Source organism: Homo sapiens, chromosome 2 (genome assembly GCF_000001405.40).
Source record: "Homo sapiens chromosome 2, GRCh38.p14 Primary Assembly".
Taxonomy (NCBI): Eukaryota; Metazoa; Chordata; class Mammalia; order Primates; family Hominidae; genus Homo; species Homo sapiens.
The window spans coordinates 206145667-206169006 of NC_000002.12; the positions used below are offsets into that span (position 1 = coordinate 206145667).

General features: G+C 42.1%; 2 protein-coding genes and 2 non-coding genes across 10 annotated transcripts in view, besides 3 other annotated features; 3 read left to right on the forward strand and 1 right to left on the reverse strand.

The window, feature by feature from the left end:
- Nucleotides 1-13778, reverse strand: part of NDUFS1 (NADH:ubiquinone oxidoreductase core subunit S1) — a 44628-nt gene extending 30850 nt beyond the window's left edge. Inside the window, exons 1-8 of one of the 5 annotated variants that reach the window (NM_005006.7) lie at nucleotides 13675-13778; nucleotides 7952-8016; nucleotides 6753-6844; nucleotides 4152-4259; nucleotides 3354-3430; nucleotides 2087-2168; nucleotides 1865-1995; nucleotides 1237-1422 (exon numbers count right to left, since the gene is read on the reverse strand). In NM_005006.7, the coding sequence (NP_004997.4) occupies nucleotides 1237-1422; nucleotides 1865-1995; nucleotides 2087-2168; nucleotides 3354-3430; nucleotides 4152-4259; nucleotides 6753-6844; nucleotides 7952-8012 (737 nt within the window). In that variant the 5' untranslated portion in view covers nucleotides 8013-8016; nucleotides 13675-13778. Of the gene's footprint in view, nucleotides 1-1236; nucleotides 1423-1864; nucleotides 1996-2086; nucleotides 2169-3353; nucleotides 3431-4151; nucleotides 4260-6752; nucleotides 6845-7951; nucleotides 8017-13429; nucleotides 13544-13674 lie in introns of those variants that run through there. The other 4 variants (NM_001199984.2, NM_001199983.2, NM_001199981.2 and 1 more) reach the window with 4 other exon arrangements.
- Nucleotides 13456-13865: an enhancer, noted in NCBI's record as "active region_17025". NCBI's record gives its function as "activates an Ori minimal core promoter by ATAC-STARR-seq in GM12878 lymphoblastoid cells {active_cell/tissue: GM12878}" and the evidence as "EXISTENCE:reporter gene assay evidence [ECO:0000049][PMID:35858748]".
- Nucleotides 13943-17262, forward strand: EEF1B2 (eukaryotic translation elongation factor 1 beta 2). 3 transcript variants are annotated; one of them, NM_001037663.2, is made up of 7 exons: nucleotides 13943-14018; nucleotides 14247-14393; nucleotides 14922-15044; nucleotides 15680-15806; nucleotides 16372-16438; nucleotides 16823-16948; nucleotides 17063-17262. In NM_001037663.2, the coding sequence occupies exons 2-7, from the start codon at nucleotides 14314-14316 to the stop codon at nucleotides 17215-17217; spliced, it is 678 nt and encodes a 225-aa protein (NP_001032752.1). In that variant the 5' UTR covers nucleotides 13943-14018; nucleotides 14247-14313; the 3' UTR covers nucleotides 17218-17262. The 3 variants fall into 3 exon arrangements, with proteins under 3 accessions (NP_001032752.1, NP_066944.1, NP_001950.1); NM_021121.4 differs by having other exon boundaries at nucleotides 14293-14393; NM_001959.4 differs by lacking the exon at nucleotides 13943-14018 and having other exon boundaries at nucleotides 14229-14393.
- Nucleotides 13976-14235: an enhancer, noted in NCBI's record as "active region_17026". NCBI's record gives its function as "activates an Ori minimal core promoter by ATAC-STARR-seq in GM12878 lymphoblastoid cells {active_cell/tissue: GM12878}" and the evidence as "EXISTENCE:reporter gene assay evidence [ECO:0000049][PMID:35858748]".
- Nucleotides 14496-14565: a silencer, noted in NCBI's record as "silent region_12266". NCBI's record gives its function as "represses an Ori minimal core promoter by ATAC-STARR-seq in GM12878 lymphoblastoid cells {active_cell/tissue: GM12878}" and the evidence as "EXISTENCE:reporter gene assay evidence [ECO:0000049][PMID:35858748]".
- Nucleotides 16215-16284, forward strand: SNORD51 (small nucleolar RNA, C/D box 51). Its single transcript, NR_002589.1, has one exon. It is a non-coding gene; the product is annotated as a small nucleolar RNA, C/D box 51 (small nucleolar RNA).
- SNORA41 (small nucleolar RNA, H/ACA box 41) lies at nucleotides 16562-16693 on the forward strand. The gene has a single exon (NR_002590.1). It is a non-coding gene; the product is annotated as a small nucleolar RNA, H/ACA box 41 (small nucleolar RNA).

Sequence of the window (23340 nt, forward strand, 5' to 3'; positions counted from 1 at the left end):
TACAATGTGGGAAGCTTTTATGCACTGAAAAACTGGTGGCTGGGCTCAGTGCTCCTCCTATGCTCCTCTCCACCCCCTCAAAATGGAATTTCTTCGAGGCCGGGGCAGGCTGTGAAGATGAGAACTTCTTTGGTACAGATGGAGACAACTCACTTAACTTGGAGCACGAGGCAAACTTGTTTGTGGAGGTGATACTTTGGAGGTCATCGTAGCTGAGGATAGCCAAGATTTTACCAGCCTAAGTTTGTAGTGGTAATTGCGGCAAGCATTCCTAACAGAGGCTGCTACATGTGCAGGTGAAACCAGAGAAAGCTCAACCTATTCATAAACTCCTGGATAACTCTGAGACCCAAAGGGCCCAGTGCAAAGTAATAGCTGGGCAAACTTGAAAACAGCCTCAACTTTGAATATGCTCCTCCATCCACAAACAGATCCATTGGCAAAGAACATAACTCTTATTAGGTCACGGTGTTTGAAGTACAATTATACCTGACTACTAAACTATGCAGACACAGGGGAACTCCTAAGAAGCCTCACTTAAAAATAAAACCAAGAATATTAAAATATGTTGAAAGAACCAAAGAAAATCATATTTAAAAATTGAAGGGGATGTATGACAACCACGAATCAGCAAGTAGAGATTCTCAGTAAGGACACAGAAATTACACAGAAACAAAAAGCCAAATCCCAAGTTGAAAAGTATAAAGTTTAAAATTGGATGATAATTTGTTATGTTTTAAGAACCTTAAAAATAATCACACCTCTTGCATCTATCTACTCCATTTCTTGGTTTAATCAGGAGAATGAGAGATATACACAGAAATGTGTAAACAGCAATATTTTTTACAGATTTGTAATCATAAAGAAATATACAAGCTAAATGTCTATTAGCAGAAACTGGCTAAATGACATTCCTCATAGTTGAAAACTTAATAAACAACAACATGGGAGACTATACATTTAAAATGTCAACACTATTAAACTCTTTGGAAGAACACATGAAAAAAATAATTTTGTGGTTGAGTACTTTAGAATTAATTTCCAAGAAAACTACAGTTAATTTGCACAGGTTCAATCCATTCTAACTACTTACCTTCTATTTAAAGGGTTTTACATAAACAAACAAAGTCAACAGACCAAAACAACTGAAACCCAGGAAGAAAATGAACCTTAATATTTTTTTGAATAGTAATGAATTAAGGACAAAAAAACAAATTGTCATAAAATAAAAGATACCTTGTTTCCCAAGGCCGGGCAGTAAAGGCATAGGGCTTAGAGGTTAGGGCACCTACAGGGCAGATATCAATGATATTCCCAGACAGTTCAGACATGAACATCTTTTCAATGTATGTGCCAACTTGCATATCATTTCCTCTGCCTGTTGTTCCCAAATCATCTACTCCTGCAATCTCACTTGCAAACCTACAAGATAAAAAATGTGTCATCAATGGTCAAGTCCAGCAAAATTATTTCCTTTCTTATTCATGATCACAAAGAGATGATTTTCCAAACACTAAAAAGAAATGAGTATATTTTTAAAGGTGAGCACAGTCCTAGAATAAAAAATAATGAAATGTTTGCATTTAATTGAGGTGTAACACACAGGCAGAAACTTGTACAAATCATATGTGTACAACTCACCAAGTTATGAGTGAAAGCAAATGCTTATAGATTTTAATTTTTAAATCCACCTGAAGTTGGTACTAAATGAAAGTGAACTTATTTTATTCATATATCAGAAACAGCATCCCTCTTCTCCCACCCAAAAAAAGTAGCCATTCTTTCCAATGTTATTATTCATCAAATTGTGACTATTAAGTATACAATTATATTCTATAATAGAAAAAAAAGGAAAAAAAGTTACCTGATGCAGCGAGTACACTGTATACATCTTGTCATGATGGTCTTTACCAATGGCCCAATGTTCTTGTCTTCCACAGCACGCTTCCCCTCTAAAAATCGGCTCCTATCATTTCCAAACATCATGGACTGGTCCTTAAGTAGATTATGAAAGAGTCAATCTCATGCTGCTAATAAAATTAAAATCTGAGACAACCAAAAAGATTGACAGAATTCTACTACATACCTGCAGATCACATTCACCTCCCTGGTCACAAATAGGACAGTCCAATGGGTGATTTGCTAATAAGAACTCCATCACACCTTCCCTGTATGAAAATTGTAACATATAAAATGACTCTCAAATACACACACACTGACATTAACTGCTGGCACTCAAAATGACCTATAGACTTTATTTTTTTTTTTTGAGATGGTGTCTCGCTCTGTTGCTCAGGCTGCAGTGCAGTGGCACAATCTTGGCTCACTGCAGCCTCCTGCCTCCACCTCTCAGGTTCAAGCGATTCTCTTGCCTCAGCCTCCCGAGTATCTAGGATTACAGATGCCCACCACCACACCTGGCTAATTTTTGTATTTTTAGTAGAGGCAGGGTTTCATCATGTTGGTCAGGCTGGTCTCGAACTCCTGACCTCAAGTGATCCTCCCGCCCTGGCGTCCCAAAGTGCTAGAATTACAGGCGTGAGCCACTGTGCCAGGCCCACATATAGGCCATTTAAACAACCTTCATAGATGTATATTTGTTATACAATTAATAGTAATTTTACATTTAATATCAGAAATGCCAATTATCTATCATTGTGGTAATATTTTTTTTAAGAGACGGGGTCTTGCTATGTTGCCCAGGCTGGACTCGAGCTCCTGGGCTCAAGTGATCCTCCCGAGTATCATTCTGGTAGTATTAAACACACAATCTGGAAAATGCTTAGAGGAGCCTAGAATAAAGTATCATTAGAGAACATAGAAAATTATGATTTTTGGTCAGGTTTGGTGGCTCACGTCTGTAATCCCAGAACTATGGGAGGGAGGCTGAGGCAGGATGATCACCTGAGGCCAGGAGTTCAAGCCCAGCCTGGACAACATAGTGAGACCTCGTTTCAAAAAATAAAGAAAATTGTAACTTTTAACAATACCGAATGATCAAAAGTTGCTGAATGGTCCTCAGAAAATATTCACATTAATTCAAAATAAAAACAAACACAATCAATCCCAGTATAGTATAGTAGTAGCTTAGTAAGTCCAGATTCACCCTTCTTCACAAGTTGAGCAAGTTACTAAAGAAGGATTTTTAATGCTGATCCTAAAGCTCAATACCATAAACTCCTGACTTCACCTTCTCTACTATGTAGTACTCACTTCTATTGCTCCTAGAAGCTGAGCACACCAACTTCTTCCGAGTTTGATATTAAATTCTTAATCTATGGGAAGGTCTAAATACCAAAATGTGCAATTTTCTGCTTTATGAAAGGGTACTACATTGAATAACAATAAAGTACCTGGCTTTTTTGGATTTTTCTGAGTTTGTTAGGATATTCCAACCCTTCATTACTGGCATGGCACAAGCAGCTACAACCTGGGATTTCAATGAAAAAAAAAAATGTGTATTTGTATTTATTTGTGATTACAAGCAACTCAATATATAAAAATGTTAAATTATATAAAAACATTAAATTATACATTTGATAACAGGCAAAGAATAGGGTATTTTTTAAAACTGAATTTTGTTAAGTTTTCATATTCATAATACGATGATCTAGTACTTTGCATTTATCTCAGAAATAAAACATCCTGGTTTTTAGGTTTATTCTAATAGTCAATGCAATTTTTTATTCTGCTCTGAAACAGAACACCAAATAACTGCTTTGATTAGCAGGCACTATTGAATAAAAAAATTGCATACACCAAAATGAAATTAAACTACTGAAAGTGAACTTCTTCCCTGCAACCCTTTTCTCTACTAAAAATGGCAGGGCGTCAGCACTTTTAATGTGCTACTTGGCAACTCTACATCCTGGTTATATATTATACAGCCATTTGGAAATACTGACAACTATAAATCACCTTTAATTTCTAGATATGTTACAATTATATGACATGTGTTTGTAAAGCACTTCTATCTATGTGTTTCCAGTTTTGAAATGAAGAGAATCAATTGTACAAAAGAATTAAATTTATAGATAGAAGTAAAGAGGGCTAGGTTCTCCACTACGATATTGATTCTAAATAAAGTTTGCTGCAAGATTTAAAGTTTTCTACCTTCTACAGCATGGTGTAGAATTTTAGGTATCAAGTACCTTAGGGGCTTTCTCAATTTCAACAAGGCACATCCTGCAGTTTCCAGCAACAGACAACCTTTCATGATAACAGAATCGAGGGATCTGCATGCCAACCTTCTCACAAGCCTAGAAGTAAAAAAAAAAAAAAAAAAAAAAAAAGCATTAGAATAACCTGACTTCACTGCTGTTATTGCTGAAACACACACATACAGCATCTTATTACTTCTATCTATCTATCTATCTATCTATCTATCTTAATTCATTCTTATTTCAGTCCCTTTCTTTGCCTTTGATTCTAACCCGTCTCCTCTGAAGCTGCCTCAGAGGATCTCAGGATCCTTGGCGTGACTTCACCTTATGTGGAAGAAACTGGATAAAGTATCCTTCCACTGTGCTGAAGACTTGACTTCCCACATCCATTTTGAACCATTGTCCACAATGTCCCCAGTGGTTTCATACCTGGACTTCTTCTTTGCCTCGCTCCCCTCCTTTGGATTAGAGATTTCACTACACATTATCTAGCTGGCTATCTGTCTTTGGCTCCTATATGCTACCCAGGACTCACCTCCCACTGTGGCTGAAGGTTTTCCCAGTTTCTGTTTGCCCAGTAAGGGGGATTATCCCTGCTCTGCCAATTATCACCTACCCTGCTCTGCAATTTCTTCCTCCTTTTAGTCTATAAACATGTTCAAATTTCCTCTAGAGTTAGTTCCTCATCCTCAGCCTTCATTCTAAAGCAATCTCATCAATTTCCAGTGTTTAAACTATTTAGTTAGCAAAAATGTGTTGAGTCTTTCCTTTGTGCAGGATGCAGGTATAGTAGTGAAAAAGACAGATAGTGTCCCAGCCTTCATCCTAGCTGACATTCCTTATGCTGATTATGTCCAAACCTTAATCTGCAGCCATGTTAGACCTCCACTTCTCCAAGCTTCAGATTTACAGGTATTTGCATGTGTATGTTCCACAGACAGCTTAAATTCAAATGATTTCTCTCCCCTCTATACACTCCAAAATAACCTAACAAATGCAGAAAACCACAAGAATTCCTCCGGTCTCTTTGAGTTCTAAAGAACTATTTGTCTGTGGCTCTACTGAAACTTCTTTTGTGTTTTTTTTTTCTCACTGTTAAAGCAATATTGGGAAGTTCTGTACGACGGGGGAAAAAATCCCTCGGGTCTTCATCATTCCTGAAGGCCTGTCTACATTTCATTCTCCCTTGAATCTACTCTCTTGTTTTCATTCCCATTGACACTATCTATTTTAGGGCTTTTGTAGTATCCTGTCCCAATAATACAAAATGCTTTTTCCTTGTCTCTTATTCCAGTCTTGCTATTCTCCAAATGATCATCCTCTACAGTCGCTGTCACCCTGTTTAAATAGGCAACAAAACTCCTGATGGATCAAAATATAAGCTCTTCTGCATAGCAGATACTGTATTTCATGACTGGACCTTCCCTTCCTCAATAACTTGATTTCCTGTGATCTCATCTTCTACTTATACCTTATGTTTCATCAATATTAAACTATTTGAAGCTTTCAAAATATGACAAGCTATCTGCCTTAACTTTTTCCATAGGAAATGCAAGCATGTCGTTCTTGTTCACAATATGAACACACCTGTTCATCCTTTAACACCTCCTCAGGGATGACCTGAGGCACCCAATACCTCTTTCTACTACCTCCTATCCCTGCCACAACTTTTCACTGTACCTTGAACATACATTTATATCATATTTTGTGCTTTCATGTCTGTGACTGGCAGATAGTCTAGAAATGACTGCTAAAATGAACAAAGAACATTTAGATCTGTGACAACTTACAAATGGAGTGAAGCATGACTTCTCTATGACCAATTTATTATTTCTGGAGGAATATGAAGAAATATTTAGAGCATGAATGTAAGCACATGCTACCCTCCATTTACCTGCTTTGTAGGATATATTCCTATGAATATTACTAACCACAGAAAGGTTATATGAAAATGAAAAGCATTAAGCAGGCCCACAACAAATGGAGGTTATTTTTTCACAAACTTACCTATAGTAACTAATTTAAGTTACTTCAAATTTCTTTTCTTTTTTTTTGAGACAGAGTCTTGCTCTGTTGCCCAGGCTGGAGTGCAGTGGCACAATCTCGGCTCACTGCAACCTCCGCCTCCTGGGTTCAAGCAATTCTCCTGCCTCAGCCTCTCGAGTAGCTGGGATTACAGGTGCGCGCCACGATGCGCAGCTAATTTTTTGTATTTTTAGTAGAGAAGGGGTTTCACAGTGCTGGCCAGGCTGGTCTAGAACTCCTGAATGATCCGCCCGCCTCGGCCTCCCAAAGTGCTGGGATTACAGGCATGAGCCACTGCGCTCGGACTTCAAATTTCTTAATGGGTATTCATTTGGAATGAAAAGTGAAACAAAAGAACTACCATAATTCACTAAAAATGCCACAAACAAATATATGATAGCTCACTTTGAAGTGCCAAGATTTAAAATGAAATAATTTTAATATAACTTTGCTGTGTATAGTTATTTTAAAGAATTATTTACTAATAATCAGTATAAAGGAAATAAATTAGTATTTTTAAAAAAATCAGAACACACACACAAAATAGTTAGAATGTATGCCTACTTGGAGGACGGTCGTTCCCGGTTCCACCATGACAGACTGACCATCAACAAATACTTCAATCAAGTTGCTTGCTGCTGTGGCAGTTGTTCGAACTGACCATCAAAGATATTGAAGCGAAAAACAGATTAACAGTTTATTATAGCAGATGATAATGGATGAATTGACTCTAACTACAAACCTAAAATTTTTCATTCCTTATTATTCCTCTGTATTGCTCTGGATGCAAACTTATGGTTGTCTACTTTTGATAGCAGAGTAGTTTAAACTGAAACTTCTTTCTTCTTCTTTTTTTTTTTTTTTTTTTGAGAGGGAGTCTTGCCCTGTCACCCAGGCTGGAGTGCAGTGGCGCCATCTTGGCTCACTACAACCTCCACCTCCCCGGTTCAAGCGATTCTCCTGCCTCAGCCTTCCGAGTAGCTGGGATTACAGGAACTCACCACCACGCCCGCTAATTTTTGTATTTTTAGTAGAGACAGGGTTTCGCCATATTGGCCAGGATGGTCTCAAACTCCTGACCTCAAGTAATCCTTCTGCCTCGGCCTCCCAAAGTGCTGAGATTACAGGAGTGAGCCACCATACCCAACTTTAAACTGAAACTCTTAATGTCACTGAAAATATGTTCATGGGAAGATCACTTTTCAAAAACAGAATGTGATTTTTCCATTTTGGCATTGATGTGTGTAGTTCCTAATACTTTCTATTCCATGATAATTCCTATAAACTGTTTAAAGTAAAATTATATTTTGAAAATTATTCAACTTAGATCATTTGTTTCTTCTTTTTTTTTTTTTTTCCAAGATGGAGTCTCGATCTATCTCCCAGGCTGGAGTGCAGTGGTACAATCTTGGCTGTATGCAACCTCCACCTCCCGGGTTTAAGCTATTCTTGTGCCTCAGCCTCCTGTGTAGCTGGGATTACAGGTGTGCCCCACCATGCCCAGCTGATTTTTATATTTTTAGTAGTGATGGGGTTTCACTATGATGGCCAGGCTGGTTTTGAATTCCTGGCTTCAAGCAATCCACCTGCCTCAGCCTCTCAAAGTGCTAGGATTACAGGCATGAGCCACCACACCCGGCCGGTTTCTATTTTTATTTTAAAAAATCATGGGTTTAGGGTCTTTGATAAACTATGCCATAGACTTATAAATTTACAAAAATAAGGTCTAATATCCACGAATGCAAATTTAAGAAAATACTCACCACATCCTTTAGGAGACTTAGAAAGGCCTACTAAGGCCTTTCTTACAGGTATCCTTAACATATTGCTAAAAATAAAACAAAGAATTATATTATTGTAGGGAAAAAAACAATCACCAACTGTTTGGTAATGTTTTATGGCTTTAAATTATTTCACATACATTATGTCATTGAACACTCATAGGTTCTGATATTTTCACTTAGTCTGTAGATGAGAATTCTCAGTCTCAGAGATACTGACTTGTACAATGTCAAAGAGCTAAGCAGCAGCAGCTATTGTATACATTTGGACTTTCTAATTCTATGCAGAGAGCAGTTTTGCCATTTAAAAAAAAATGACATAGAAAGGATCAAACTTAAAGCACTACCACACAGTAAAATAAACTGCAAGACTAACAGTGAGCTTATCATTAATGGTTATGTAAAATAAAGTTGTCTTTTCTGCTTTTATTTCCTACCAATACCCATTCTATCATTTCATGTTCTAAGCATAGCTGTCTACTAAATGTTCCTGAGATATTCTGAGATAGCTCACCAGCCCAAGCCTTTGAGGTGTCTTGATTGCTATTTTCTGGTACACTTATCTTACAGATTTCCAATTATGTGTTTATAAGCCCGTTCTGCCCTCACTGCATTAATTCCTTGAATTTTTCTATCTTCAGTACCTATCCACCAGGCTGGCACAGAGTAAGCTCTTAAACAATGGCTCTCAACTGAGGACAATTTTGCTCCCCAGGGAATATTTAGCAATGTCTGAACACACTGTTGTCACAAACAAGGGGAAGTTACTGACATCTAGTGGGTAGAGGACAAGGTGCTGGCTATTCTACAATGTACAGGACAGTCCCCCACAATAAAGATAATTATCCAAAGTGTCAACAGTGCTGAAGTTGAGACACTGCTCTAAAAGGCTTGCTGAATTACTGAAATAAATGGGTGTCGATTATATAAACACCACGACTTAAAGACACACAAAACAGAAAAGTTACCAAAACTTCTTTTTATTTGTTTTTGTTTGTTTGTTTCTGAGATGGAGTCTCGCCCTATCACCCAGACTGGAGTGCACTGGTGCAATCTCGGCTCACTGCAACCTCCACCGCCCGGATTAAAGCAATTCTCCTGCCTCAGCCTCCTGAAGAGCTGGGATTACAGGCACCCGCCACCACACCCGACTAATTTTTTGTATCTTTAGTAGAGACAGGGTTTCACCATGTTGGCCAGGCTGGTCTCGAACTCCTGACTTCATGATCCGCCCACCTTGACCTCCCAAAGTGTTGGGGTTAAGGCGTGAGCCACCGTGCCCGGCCCTTTTTTTTTTTTTTTTTTTTTGAGATAGAGTCTTACTCTGTTGCCCAGGCTGGAGTGAGTGCAGTGGCACGATCTCAGCTCATTGTAACCTCTGCCTCCTGGGTTCAAGCGATTCTCCTGCCTCAGCCTCCAGAGTAGCTGAGACTACAGGCATGCACAACCATGCCAGGCTAATTTTTGTATTTTTATTATTTATTTATTTTATTTATTTATTGAGACGGAGTCCCGCTCTGTTGCCCAGGCTGGAGTGCTGTGGCGCGATCTCAGCTCACTGCAACCTCCGCCTCCCAGGTTCAAGCGATTCTCCTGCCTTGGCTTCCTGAGTAACCGGGACAGGTGTGTACCACCATGCCAGGCTAATTTTTTGTATTTTTAGTAGAGACGGGGTTTCATCGTGTTAGCCATGATGGTCTCCATCTCCTGACCTCATGATCCAGTCAGCTCAGCCTCCCAAAGTGCTGGGATTACAGGAGTGAGCCACTGTGCCCAGCCTATTTATTTATTTTTGAGGCAGGGGTCTTGCTGTCACCCAGTCTCACTCTGTCACCCAGGAGTGCAGTGGCAAGATCTCGGCTCACTGCAACCTCCACCTCCCAGGTTCAAGCAATTCTCAGCCTCCCGAGTAGTTGGGATTACAGGCGCCCATCAACATGCCCGGCAAATTTTTGTATTTTTAGTAGAGACAGGGTTTCGCCACGTTGGCCAAGGTGGTCCTGAAGTCCTGATCTCAGGTGATCCACCTGCCTTGGCCTCCCAAAGTGCTGGGATTACAGGTGTGAGCCAATACGCCTGGCCAATTTTTTTATTTTTTAGTAGAGATGGGGTTTCGCCATGTTGGCCAGGCTGGTCTCAAACTCCGGACCTCAGGTGATCCACCTGCCTTGGCCTCCCAAAGTGCTAGGATTACAGGCGTGAGCCACCACGCCCGGCCAAGTCACCAAAACTTCTAAACTTTTTGAGTTTTTTTTTTTTCCTACTCACTTGATCATATAGGCTAAGCACTGAACTTTCCTTCTATTCACTTGATCATATAGGTTGAGCATCCAAAATCATTTGGAACTTTTAAAGGTATTAAAAATGCCTGTAATCCCAGCACTTTGGGAGGCTGAGGCAGGTGGATCACGAGGTCAAGAGATCGAAACCATCCTGGCCAACATGGTGAAACCCCTTCTCTACTAAAAATACAAAAAAATAGCCGGGCGTGGTGGCAGGCGCCTGTAGTCCCAGCTACTGGGGAGGCTGAGGCAGGAGAATGGCGTGAACCCGGGAGGCGGAGCTTGCAGTGAGCCAAGATCACGCCACTGCACTCCAGCCTGGGCGACAGAGCAACACTCTGTCTCAAAAAAAAAAAAAAAAAAAATGCAAATTGGACAGGAGAGGTGGCTCACGCCTGTAGTCTCAACACTTTGGGAGGCCATCACAGGAAGATGGCTTGGGTCTAACAGTTAGAGGCCAGCCTGGGCAACACAGCATGATCCCATCTCTACCAAAAAAAAAAAAAAATTAGCTGGGTGTGGTGGCATGCGCCTGTGGTCCCAGCTTCACAGGAGGCTGACCTGGGAGCATGGCTTGAGCCCAGGTGTTCAAGGTTACAGTGAGCTACAATCATGCCACTGCACTCCAGCCTGGGTGACAGAATAAGACCCTGTCTCAAAAAAAAAAGAAAAAAGGCAAATTATGTGATTAGAACGTATTAAAAAATTTCAACATTAAAGTTTCAATAGTTGCAATAGTATTATTGAATAATAGTACATATACATAGGTTTTAAGCACAAAATTCTGCATACTTATCATAGATGATGTACAACAGGAAATTTCATTCATAAATTTCATTAATTAAGAATATGTGATACTGAAATTGCAAATATCCAATCTGTTTCCTGCTAGTGAGTAATGTTGGGTAAATGAGTTTCTGGTTCTTTACTTATAGAGCAGGAGGAAAACAATACTTCCTAGACAATGAGCTATTAGTAGGGGCTCAACAAATGCCAGTTAAAGCTGAATTCAACTTAGGCAATACTGGCCACTGACAATCAGTATGTGTGTGTGTTTTGAGACAGAGTCTCACTCTGTCACCCAGGTTGTAGTGCAATGGTGTGATCTTGACTCACTGCAACCTCCGCCTCCCAAGTTCAAGCAATTCTCTTGCCTCCCAAGTAGCTGGGATTACAGGCACCTGTCATCACGCCCGGCTAATTTTTGTATTTTCAGTAGAGAAGGGGTTTCGCCATGTTGGCCAGGCTGGTCTCAAACTCCTGACCTCAGTGATCCACCCGCGTCGACCTCCCAACGTGTTGGGATTACAGACGTGAGTCACCGCGCCTGGCAGACAACCAATTTTAAAGCACTCTTTCTTTGAGCTCTTTTTCTTTAGTACCAGTACACACTGTGTAGATATTTTTGTTTTACTTACTAAACTGTAGGTTAGTAATCAATTTTAGTACCTACCAGACTGTAAGCTCCTTGAGGACAAGGAATTTGGACATTTCCCTTTTTTGAAGACCTAGCACAGGACCCTTATGAAAATAACCACCAAACAGTCTTATCACCAAGTTCTAGAACTAGAGTAGCATCTGTCCTATTAAAAACTACTGATGGCATAAATATAAACCTAAACTTACTCCATTAGAGCACTGACAGATTTGAAATCAACAATCAGTATTTCATACAATTTTAAAACTTTAATACTTTTTTATCTCCAATGCAATATAAAAATAGTACTCACTTTGGATAGGAAATCAACTAGAACTAGACTGTTGACATCCAGCAACAAAGCATAGCCCAACATAAGAAATACAGATTTGCAACACTTCGATATGTGCTTTGAACATTGATATGCCAAGTAGCAATAGAAATAATTATCTCTTTGGATGGAAAATGTTAATGACTAATCATTTCTTAAACTAGACTGGATACTTTTCCATATAGGGACTATGCTATTCCACGTTCTCCAACATGGATCCATCCATTTACTTCTTGCCTTCCAAGGTACCACCCTATCCCAATCCACCATCACTCCTTGCCTGGAGTATTTCAATAGCTTTTTTTTTTTTTTTTTTGAGACAGAGTCTCGCTCTGTCGCCCAGGCTGGAGTGCAGCGGAGCGATCTCGGCTCACTGCAAGCCCCGCCACCCGGGTTCACGCCAGCCTCCTGCCTCAGCCTCCCAAGTAGCTGGACTACAGGCGCCCGCCACCACGCCCAGCTAATTTTTTGTATTTTTAGTAGAGACAGGGTTTCACCGTGTTAGCCAGGATGGTCTCGATCTCCTGGCCTCGTGATCCGCCCGCCTCGGCCTCCCAAAGTGGTGGGATTACAGGAGTGAGCCACCGCCTCCGGCCTTCAATAGCTTAACAGGTCACCAAGCTTCCACACTATTCCCACACAGCCTCTCCCCTCTTGCCACCGGCTGTGACCTCAGACTGAAATGCTCTTCCCTGGCCCCTCCTTATCCTTCAAATCTTGGCTTAAAAGCCTTTTCTCAGTTTCATTGACCAGGCTATCTAACATTTACGATTCCCCCAGCATATCATCCATTTTATTCTTCTTTACGGACTCATTTCTGGCTCGTAGTAAATGTTCAATAACGGTTAAGTGAACTGAATCTCTAATTTCTGGTCGTTAATTTGTAGAGACCACTTTCCCGGATTTAAAAAGTGCAGGTGCTCTGGCAGCCTTAAGTCGGTGAAAACAAGAATATTCCGCAAAACAAAAATAACTTGTTTATTCATCAAAAACAGTTAACGTTACACTTCTATACCGTCAATTCGTGTGTGAACAGAGTTGTGTCTGATCCAAGACCTTACAGTTCAAGCACTGGATCCCAATAACCTGTAAACAACGTTTTGTTATTTGCAATGCAATCCTGGGCTAACTTTTCAAAAGTCGTTTTTCTCAATTTCCCGTTAGTTAAAGGAATAAAAAAATGCTGTCCAACGTGGTCAATGGACCAAACAAACAAGGACAACAAACAGAAGCGTGAGCCATTGCTAACACAACAGCGACCAAACAATCATGCACTGTATCAGGCGTGTAAAAATCTGGGGGGAAAGGCTTAGTCTTAAGGCCTAAGTCATCGGACACTGGTCCTCTCCCGGGGAATAAAACGGCCTCCTCCTCTGAGAGGGAAATGTCCTGAATTTTCCCTGCAGAGGGAAGGTCACCTGCAAGCCTACATTCGTGACAGCGTTCCCGAGGACCCCCTGATCCTCATCTTCTTTTCTGCTTCATCAGACCAGAGACCGTGGCTAAAAGCCCCCCATCTGCCGGCTCTCAGGGGCTTCCGAGGCGGCGGGGCGGGAGGCGGCGCCCAGTCAAGGACAACAGAAGACTACGTCGCGTGGGCCAAAGGAAACAGTCCCGTCAATAAATAAGCCTCTGGCCGACGCACCTCACCCTTCCCATCCATACAAGACCTCACCTTCTCCCCGGAGCCGCGGAGGCTGTTCTGCTAAACTGTCTGGACCACGACGACCCCCTAGGAGGCCGGGTCGCTTATTCAATATGGCGGCCTCGGCTAACTCTGTCAGCCGGGCCTGGAGAACGGAAAGCCCGGAGGGACTAGAATCCTTGCATTCGACAAGTTTGTCGGCAATTTCCGTCAGCCGACCAGAGGGCGGAGCTGAGGTCGGCCCAGCCCGGAGGCGGGAAGGACAACTTGGACCCGCAGTTCCGCCGGAAGTGGCCCCAGCCTCGAGGCCGGGCGTCTTCGGTCATCTCCGGCGCTTCTAGGGCTGGTTCCCGTCATCTTCGGGAGCCGTGGAGGTACGAACTTAAGACATGCCTATTTTATTAATTTACTTCCAAACGCAACGAAAGGTCCATGGACAATTTGTGGGCCATTTAATTCAGGGCCCCCAATTCGTACGTGGAGAAGTGGGAATGCAAAAGTACTTTGACCTTTAACCTTCGGTCCGGCGCGGTGGAGGGAAACGCCTCCGTCTCTATATAAGGAATTTTCCGGTCTCTTCGGGTCCTTTTTCCTCTCTTCAGCGTGGGGCGCCCACAATTTGCGCGCTCTCTTTCTGCTGCTCCCCAGCTCTCGGATACAGCCGACACCATGGGTTTCGGAGACCTGAAAAGCCCTGCCGGCCTCCAGGTGCTCAACGATTACCTGGCGGACAAGAGCTACATCGAGGGGTGAGCGGACGGGCTGAGTCGGGGTGGCGGGGAGGTTTCTCCGCCCGGGGCCGGGGCCACGTGGCGCAGCGTGTCGGCTGCCGCGGGAGGGAGGGAGGCCGGGCCCGGGGCCCTTTCGAGAGGGAGGGGAAAGCGCCCCGTTGCCGTCTCCCAAGGCCCTCGTGTGGGGCGAGCCCGGCCTCCGGGGAGCGGTTCACGAGCAAGGAAAGGTTAAAATGTGCTTTATTTACACTTAATTCAGCCAGGTGTTTCCGCATCGCTGCCCAGTTAATACATGTTAAGCTGTAGATAGAGCAACGCCAGACATTGCAGTATTTGAGGTCTACTTAGTGGCAGACATTTCTCAGGATAGCGCGGTGACCCAAACATATGGTTTGATTTGAAGGAGCTAATAAGAAAAGAAAAGCATTAAAGCAACCCTGCTGGGGTTAGTGCCCACTAATTAATGTGATGCATACGGTATTTATTATTTATTCGCTGGCGTTTGTTTTTCAAAGGTGTGTGTGAATGTTTCTGTGTCCTTGGCAGGTATGTGCCATCACAAGCAGATGTGGCAGTATTTGAAGCCGTGTCCAGCCCACCGCCTGCCGACTTGTGTCATGCCCTACGTTGGTATAATCACATCAAGTCTTACGAAAAGGAAAAGGCCAGGTAAAATCATCTTTGTATAGAGCTGAAGAATAAGACTGCTCTCGAAGTTTATCAGGATGTTCACATGACAAAACTGGACCCAGGCTACTTTAGTTTTGTTGGGATATTGTAAGCTAAATTTTTCTGTAACCTTAGAAGGCCAAGAGACTGAAGCCCTCCATTTTTTCACAGAACAGGTAGAACATGGACAGCAGCAATTCAACTTTTCCCCACACTGCCCTGCCAATGTGCCTCGACCTTGACCTGGGGGGCCCACCTCTGGGGTGAGAGGGTGGCTCATTCATTCAGTCCTTGGCCATTCTTCTGAAACTGCCAACAAGGGTGGAAGTTTGGGGAAGTGGACTCCAGTTCACTAAGAATGGAACTGAGCATACTTAATGAAATCTCAAACAGAAATGTTCATACTGAAAGAGTAAATCATAGTGAGTATTGAAAATAATGTCTCACATGGTACTAATGCTTGTCGGGTGAGGAGTTGAACATATGACAGTGTTTACCTGGGCGCATGTGAAAGGGTAAATTATGATTGCAAAAGGGATCTAGTGATAAGTAGTGATTAAAACAAGTTATTTTGTATTTTCTGGAAAAGGATGTTATACTAGCTCAATAGTGGTTGAATTTAAATGTTTTTCAAGCCTGCCAGGAGTGAAGAAAGCTTTGGGCAAATATGGTCCTGCCGATGTGGAAGACACTACAGGAAGTGGAGCTACAGATAGTAAAGATGATGATGACATTGACCTCTTTGGATCTGATGATGAGGAGGTATGGCGTCTTCTATAAAGAACATATCGGCCAGGCGCAGTGGCTCATGCCTGTAATCCCAGCATGTTGGGAGGCTGAGGCGGGTGGATCACGAGGTCAGGAGTTGAAGACCAGCCTGGCCAAGATGGTGAAACCCTGTCTGTACTAAAAATACAAAAAAATGTGGCAGGCATCTGTAATCCCAGCTACTCAGGCGGCTAAGGCAGAGAATTGCTTGAACCTAGGAAGCGGAGGTTGCAGTGAGCCAAGATCGTGCCACTGCATCCAGCCTGGGCGACAGAGCGAGACTCCGTCCCAAAAAAAAAAAAAAAGAATACATCGATCAGCAATTGTATCAATGTGGTTAAGCCAAATTGCCTGGATTTGAATCCTGGCTTTAATTTATATGCCTTTTTCAAATTCTGACTGGTTGCATGATGAATAAAATCAAATCACCATCTTTCGGCTGAGTTCGTGATGGATTTGCTTTTTTCTGATTAAGCCAGTCTTTTTTGTGATGACCCCACTAGCTTTAAGCAGAGGAACAACCAGCTTTCTGAAGTGGATTAATTTTTTTTCTTTACAGGAAAGTGAAGAAGCAAAGAGGCTAAGGGAAGAACGTCTTGCACAATATGAATCAAAGAAAGCCAAAAGTAGGTCATTTGTTTTTAACTTCATTTCATGTTAATGTAAGTAATCTTTTTCAAAGCTTGACCTTGAAGTAATTTCCTCCACATTCCTTGAATAGGTCAATATTTTAAAACCTGTACAGGTTCTTCCACAGCTACTGGTCTGCAGCTGTTCTTATGGTAGCAGTTGTGGCATTCCTCTGTGGGAAAGAAACTGTTAACACAAACACCTCTTTCTTAGCAAAACAGAAAGTGGGTATATATGTGTGACAGACACAAGATGTATCTGTAGTTTTGTTTGGCTAAGGAGATAGTCTCAAAACAAATTGAGATGGATTTGTTTGTGTCTTGGAGTAGGGTGAAAAAAATACAATTCATTATTTGAATAATGCTGTTTATTGTTTTTAGAACCTGCACTTGTTGCCAAGTCTTCCATCTTACTAGATGTGAAACCTTGGGATGATGAGACAGATATGGCGAAATTAGAGGAGTGCGTCAGAAGCATTCAAGCAGACGGCTTAGTCTGGGGCTCATGTGAGTTTAGGCTTTGCCTTTTTTTTTTTGAAACTAACATCTGGAATTTGCCTACAGTTTCAACCTTTCCTACAAGACTTTTCTAACTAGGATTTTTCTTAATGCTCTTTTTAGCTAAACTAGTTCCAGTGGGATACGGAATTAAGAAACTTCAAATACAGTGTGTAGTTGAAGATGATAAAGTTGGAACAGATATGCTGGAGGAGCAGATCACTGCTTTTGAGGACTATGTGCAGTCCATGGATGTGGCTGCTTTCAACAAGATCTAAAATCCATCCTGGATCATGGCATTTAAATAAAAGATTGAAAGATTACCTTTGGCTCTTGAGTATGTTACATAGGAGGGTGGTGTATATATTCCTTTCATTTTGGGGGAAGGAATTAAATGAATATGTGATTCCTAAATACCCCAAATTTGGTTTGGCATTGTTGTTAGAAAATTGCAGTGCAGGCCAGGTGTGGTGGTTCATGCCTGTAATCCCAGCAGTTTGGGAGGCTGAAGTGGCTGGATCGAGACCAGGAGGCTGATACCAGCCTGGGCAATGGGGAGAGATCCTGTCTCTACAAAAAATATAAAAATTAGCTGGACATGGTAGTGCACCCCTGTATTCCCAGCTATTTGGGAGACTGAGGTGGGAGGATTTCTTGAACCCAGGAGGTTGAAACTGCAGTGAGCCAAGGTTGTGCGACTGCACTCCAGCCTGGGTGCCAGAGCAAGGTCCTGTCAAAAGAAAAAAAATTGTAGTGCAACTTTACCCACTTGTGATGTCCTTAGCAGTGCCTGATGATGTGATTTGTTGTAACCTAGCATCTTTGCACTGGGAACTTGATGTGAGATGTGTGACACTGCTAGAAGACACCTAACCCAGAGGAGGGAGGGCTTCCCAGAATTTGGCATGACTTACAACTACTTAACAGGTTACAAATTTAAAATAATGACTCATGATGTAAAGAAACCATCTTTTAAGTGTTGGGAATGTGATTTGGAGTAGCACTGTGTCCTGGGAGGGGGATTATATAGGTAACTGGTTCCCAGGCTTCCCAGAAAAACTTGACTTTGCTGTGAAGATTCATAGGTGCTGGGTTGTAGAGGCGGAATATTTTACTTGGATTTGGAAATCTGATTGGTTCTCATGCTGCAGGTAAATACTGGGATGAGGGTAGTATGTTGAGTGAAGAGATGGTCAAGTATTGGAAACCGTTTAATCTTAACAGGGAATTTGGGGTCTGGCTAACATTTGATACATTTTTTTAAATAGTAGTTTTACAAAAGCAGTGCTTGGGAATTGCTGATCTCAAATGATCAAAAAATTTTAGGTCAATTTTTTTTTTTTTTTTTTTTTTGAGATGGAGTCTCACTCTGTTGCCTGGGCTAGAGTGCAGTGGTGTGATCTCAGCTCACTGCAACCTCGGCCTCCCAGGTTCAAGCAATTCTCCTGCCTCAGCCCCCTGAGTAGCTGGGATTACAGGCATGCGCCACCATGCCTGGCTAATTTTTCTATTTTTAGTACATACGGGGCTTCACCATTTTGGTCAGGCTGGTCTCGAGCTCCTGACCTCAGGTGATCCACCCACCTTGGCCTCCCAAAGTGCTGGGATTATAGGCATAAGCCACAATGCCCAGCCCCTAGGTCAATTTTTTAATAGAACTATACAGTGCTATTTCTTCTCCATCTGATTTTATGTTGTGACTGCCTTGACTGTGGGAAACTATATTATAAGGAAGATTTATTTAACAGATAGATACATTGAATAATATCTCTAAGCAATGTTTATAATCCAACAGCCTAAAAGTCATGGGAGACATTTTCAGGTTGTCATTATCATAAGAGCCAGCAGAGGGCAGCACTACATTTTCTGGAAAACCAGAGAGTTTGGGAATAATGAAAATGCCAAAAGAAACACAAAAAACAAAAAACCAAAACCATGAATAAACTTCGGTGAATGGTAATAAAAATTTGCAATTATTGACATGGTGAAGGGGTTGAGTTCCAAATAGCTTGGCCAAAATGTTAACTATCAGCAGAAGTTTATGATGAGAAAACTAATGATTAATAATTAGTTTAAAGGTGGTCAAAAATTTAGAATGGTCAATTCAAACCACAGATGTCTTCAGAATCCTACAGTGATGAATGATGAGGCATACCATTTTGAAATCTTGATTCTACACCCTTGAATAAAAAATATTTTGATGGTATCTTTTAACTTCATATTTTAAAAAACACATGGCCGGATGTGGTGTCTCACACCTGTATTCCCAGCACTTTGGGAGGCCGAGGCAGCTGGATCATGAGGTCAGGCGATCTAGACCATCCTGGCTAACACAGTGAAACCCTGTCTCTACTAAAAATACAAAAAATTAGCCAGGTGTGGTGGCATGCGCCTGTAGTCCCAGCTACTTGGGAGGCTGAGGCAGGAGAATTGCTTGAACCCGGGAGGCAGAGGTTGCAGTGAGCTGAGATCACGCCACTGCACTCCAGCCTGGGCGACAAAAGTGAGACTCCATCTCAAAAGAAAAAAAAAAAGATAATATACCAACAGTTCAAAACTCAAGAGTATGTACAATGAAGTCTCTCCTGTCCCCTAGGCCTCCAGTTCCGCTCCATCAAAGCAGTGTTAACAGGTTCTTAGGTCTTTGCAGAGCCACTGTAAGCTTATGCATAGACTAATTGTAACACACCACATAGACTTTTGCACCTTGCATTTTCCTTTTGAAAATGAACACCTTGGGGCCGGGTGTGGTGGCTCACGCCTGTAATCCCAACACTTTGGGAGGCCTAGGTGGGCAGATCACAAGGTCAAGAGATCCAGACAATCCTGGCCAACATGGTGAAACCCTGTGTCTATTAAAAATACAAAAATTAGCTGGCCGTGGTGGCGCACGACTGTAGTCCCAGCCACTTGGGAGGCTGAGGCAGGAGAATCGCCTGAACCCGGGAGGCGGAGATTGCAGTGAGCTGAGATTGTACCACTGCATTCTGTCTCAAAAAAAAAAAAAAAAGAGCCAGGCGCGGTGGCTCATACCTGTAATCCCAGAGGTGGGGGATCACGAGGTCAGGAGTTTGAGACCAGCCTGGCCAACATGGTGAAACCCTGTCTCTACTAAAAATACAAAAAAAAAAAAAAAAAATGAACACCTTGGAGATTATGCCTTGGATATCCCATTATTAGTACATCCTTATTTAATAGATGCATAATTCATGTTCTCATTTCATAATTCATTTTCTCATAGTTCATTTAGACAGTCTCCTGTTGACTGGATTCTTAGGTTGCTTTTAATGTTTTGTTATTATGGGCAGTGCTGCAGTAGAAAACCCTGGTACTCATTTTCTTGAGAGCCAATATATTGAATGAACTGGTTTGTTTTGTTTTGTTTTGTTTTTTTGAGGTGGAGTCTCACTCTGTTGCCTGGGCTGGAGTGCAGTGGTGCGATCTCAGCTCCCTGCAACCTCTGCCTCCCGGGTTCAAGCGATTCTCCTGCCTCAGCCTCCCAAGTAGCTGGGATTACAGGTGCCTGCCGCTATGCCCAGCTAATTTTTTGTATTTTTAGTTTGATGGGGTTTCACCATGTTGGCCAGGCTGGTCTCAAACTCCTGACCTTGTGATACCCCCTCCTCAGCCTCCCAAAGTGCTGGGATTACAGGCGTGAGCTGCTGCGCCTGGCTCATGAACTTGTTTTAAACAAATAGTCTCAGAAGGCACTGGTTTCCAAAGAGATTTTTTTTTTTCCTGTTTCTGGCTTTAGAGTAGAAGGAAGCAAAGATAAAAAAGAGCCCACTTTTTTTTTTTTTGCATGCCCCATAAATGATTATAATGACTATGAAAGTTTTTCTTTTCTTTTTTTTTTTTTTTTTGAGACAGGGTCTCAATCTATCATCCAGGCTGGAGTGCAGTGGCATGATCACGGCTCACTGCAGCCTTGAACTCCTAGGCTTAAGCAATTCTACCTCAGCCTACTGAGTAGCTGGGACTACAGGCATGTGCCACCATACCCAGCTAATTTAAAAAAATTTTTTTAGAGATGGGGTCTTGCTATGATGCCCAGGCTTTGAACTCCTGGACTCAAGTGATCCTTCCACCTTGGCCTTCCAAGGTACTGGGATTACAGGTATGAGCCAACGTGTCCAGCCTGAAACAATATTTTTCATGTTCGGCATCCCTAGCAGAGGGCTGGGCAGTGTGGGAACTCAAAACTGATTCCTTCCGTATCACTTTGTTAGATGAAACAAAAAAACACAGAAGAAGAGAAAATTAGTATAGGGAGGCAATTCAAACATAAAATTGTTAAAAATAAAAGTCATTGGTTTGGGGATTAAGCAAATAATCTAAAAGTTCAGAAGGTCAGAGACGGCTAGAATTGATGACAAGTTTTTTGGAAGAATCAGATATAAAGATTTGGGAAGCAATTAGACAAATTCGTGAGATTTTGCAGTGTGTGTTTGGAATCTTAGATAGGATGGGGCCAGCCTGTAGACATATTTGAATTACAGGCTGGCACATTATATGAGGTTTCCAAACCAGAGAATATTAATGTTAAGACAGCTTTGATCTGGAGGTGATACGAATGAAAGCAAGGAGATCAGATGACTTATAATCCTCACAGATGGAAATGTCTAAATTATGGCATATGTATTCAATGAAATGTTTTATAAACTTTATTTATTTTTTTGAGATGGAGTCTCGCTCTATTGCCCAGGCTGGCGTGCCGTGGTGCGATGTTGGCTCATTGCAACCTCCACCTCCCAGGTTCAAGCGATTCCCCTGCCTCAGCCTCCCAAGTAGCTGGGATTACTTGTGTGCGCCACAATGCCCGGCTAATTTTTGTATTTTTAGTAGAGATGAAGTTTTGCCATGTTGGCCAGGCTGGTCTTGAACTCCTAACCTCAAGTGATCTGCCCATCTCGGCCTCCCAAAGTGCTGGGATTACAGGCGTGAGCCACCACGCCCAGCCTAAACTTTGTTTTTAAAAGTAAGTCTATAGCAACATTGAGAAATGCTTGATATTTCATGGACTATTACTATGAAAAGATATGCTTATTTGTCCATGATTATTCAGTAAATATACTAAGTCACTAGTAAGTGACAGAGGAGGAACACAAGCCAGGGTCTTCATAGGCCAGTTGATGTGTTGGTAACAGAATACGGAAGGTTCTTCATCCCTGCTTTTAGACAGTTTAATCCTATTTCATCAGTGTAATCCTTGCTTCATATTCTCATGAATATGATGAGGTGAGGTGAGGTGATAAGAAAATATGGTGAGGGATAAGAAAATATCACATAAGGGTAAATTTTACCTTGTGTAAATTGAGACTTAAACACTAAAACACTGTTCTAGGCAGAGGTTCTCAAACCTCAATTCTTGATGTCTGTCCACTCACAGGCTCAACACTACATGGAAGCTGCCAAGGCTTGAGGCTTGAACCCTCTGAAGCCATGGCCCAAGCTCTACGCTGGACCCTTTCAACCATGGCTGGAGTGGCTGGGATGCAGTGCACCAAGTCCCTAGGTTGCACACAGCACGGGGACCCTGGGCCCGGCCCATGAAACCACTTTTTCCTCCCAGGCCTTTGGGCCTGTGATAGGAGGGGCTGCTGCAAAGGTTTTTTTGACATGTCCTAGAGACATTTTTCACCATTGTCTTGGTGATTAATATTTGGTTCCTCATTACTTATGCAAATTTCTGCAGCCAGCTTGGATTTCTCCTCAGAAAATGAGATTTTCTTTTCTATTGCATTGTCAGGCTGCAAATTTTCCAAACTGTTATGCGCTGCGTCCTTATAAAACTGAATGCCATTAACAGCACCCAAGTCACCCCTTGCATGCTTTGCTGCTTAGAAATTTCTTCTGCCATGATATGGTTTGGCTGTGTCCCCACCCAAATCTCATCTTGAATTTCCACGTGTTGTGGGGAGGGACCTGGCAGGAGGCAATAGAATCATGGGGGCAGGTCTTTCTTGTGCTGTTCTCGTGATACCCAGTCATGGATATGTTTTACCCATGATTTAGGGTATCTGGTGGGATAAATTTCTAAGCAGCAAAGCATTCAAGAGGTGACTTGGGTGCTGTTAAAGGCGTTCAGTTTTATAAGGGAAGCAGAGCATAAAAGTTTGGAAAATTTGCAGCCTGACAATGCAATAAAAAAGAAAATCTCATTTTCTGAGGAGAAAGTCAAGTCAGCTGTAGAAATTTGCATAAGTAACAGGGAGCCAAATGTTAATCACCAAGACAAGGGGAAAATGTCTCCAGGGTACATCAGAGGTCTTCATGGCAGCCCTTCCCATCACAAGCCTGGAGGCCTAGAAAGAAAAAGTGGTTTCGTGTGCTGGGCCCAGGGTCCCTGTGCTGTGTGCAGCCTAGGAACTTGGTGCCCTGTGTCCCAGCTGCTCCAGCCA

Bases quoted from the DNA above. Each gene is read 5' to 3' on its own strand.
- EEF1B2 (NM_001037663.2), top strand. From the start codon at position 14,314: ATGGGTTTCGGAGACCTGAAAAGCCCTGCCGGCCTCCAGGTGCTCAAC. The intron at 15,045-15,679 runs GTAAAATCATCT...ATGTTTTTCAAG, and splicing joins TACGAAAAGGAAAAGGCCAG to CCTGCCAGGAGTGAAGAAAG. The intron at 15,807-16,371 runs GTATGGCGTCTT...TTTTCTTTACAG, and splicing joins TTGGATCTGATGATGAGGAG to GAAAGTGAAGAAGCAAAGAG.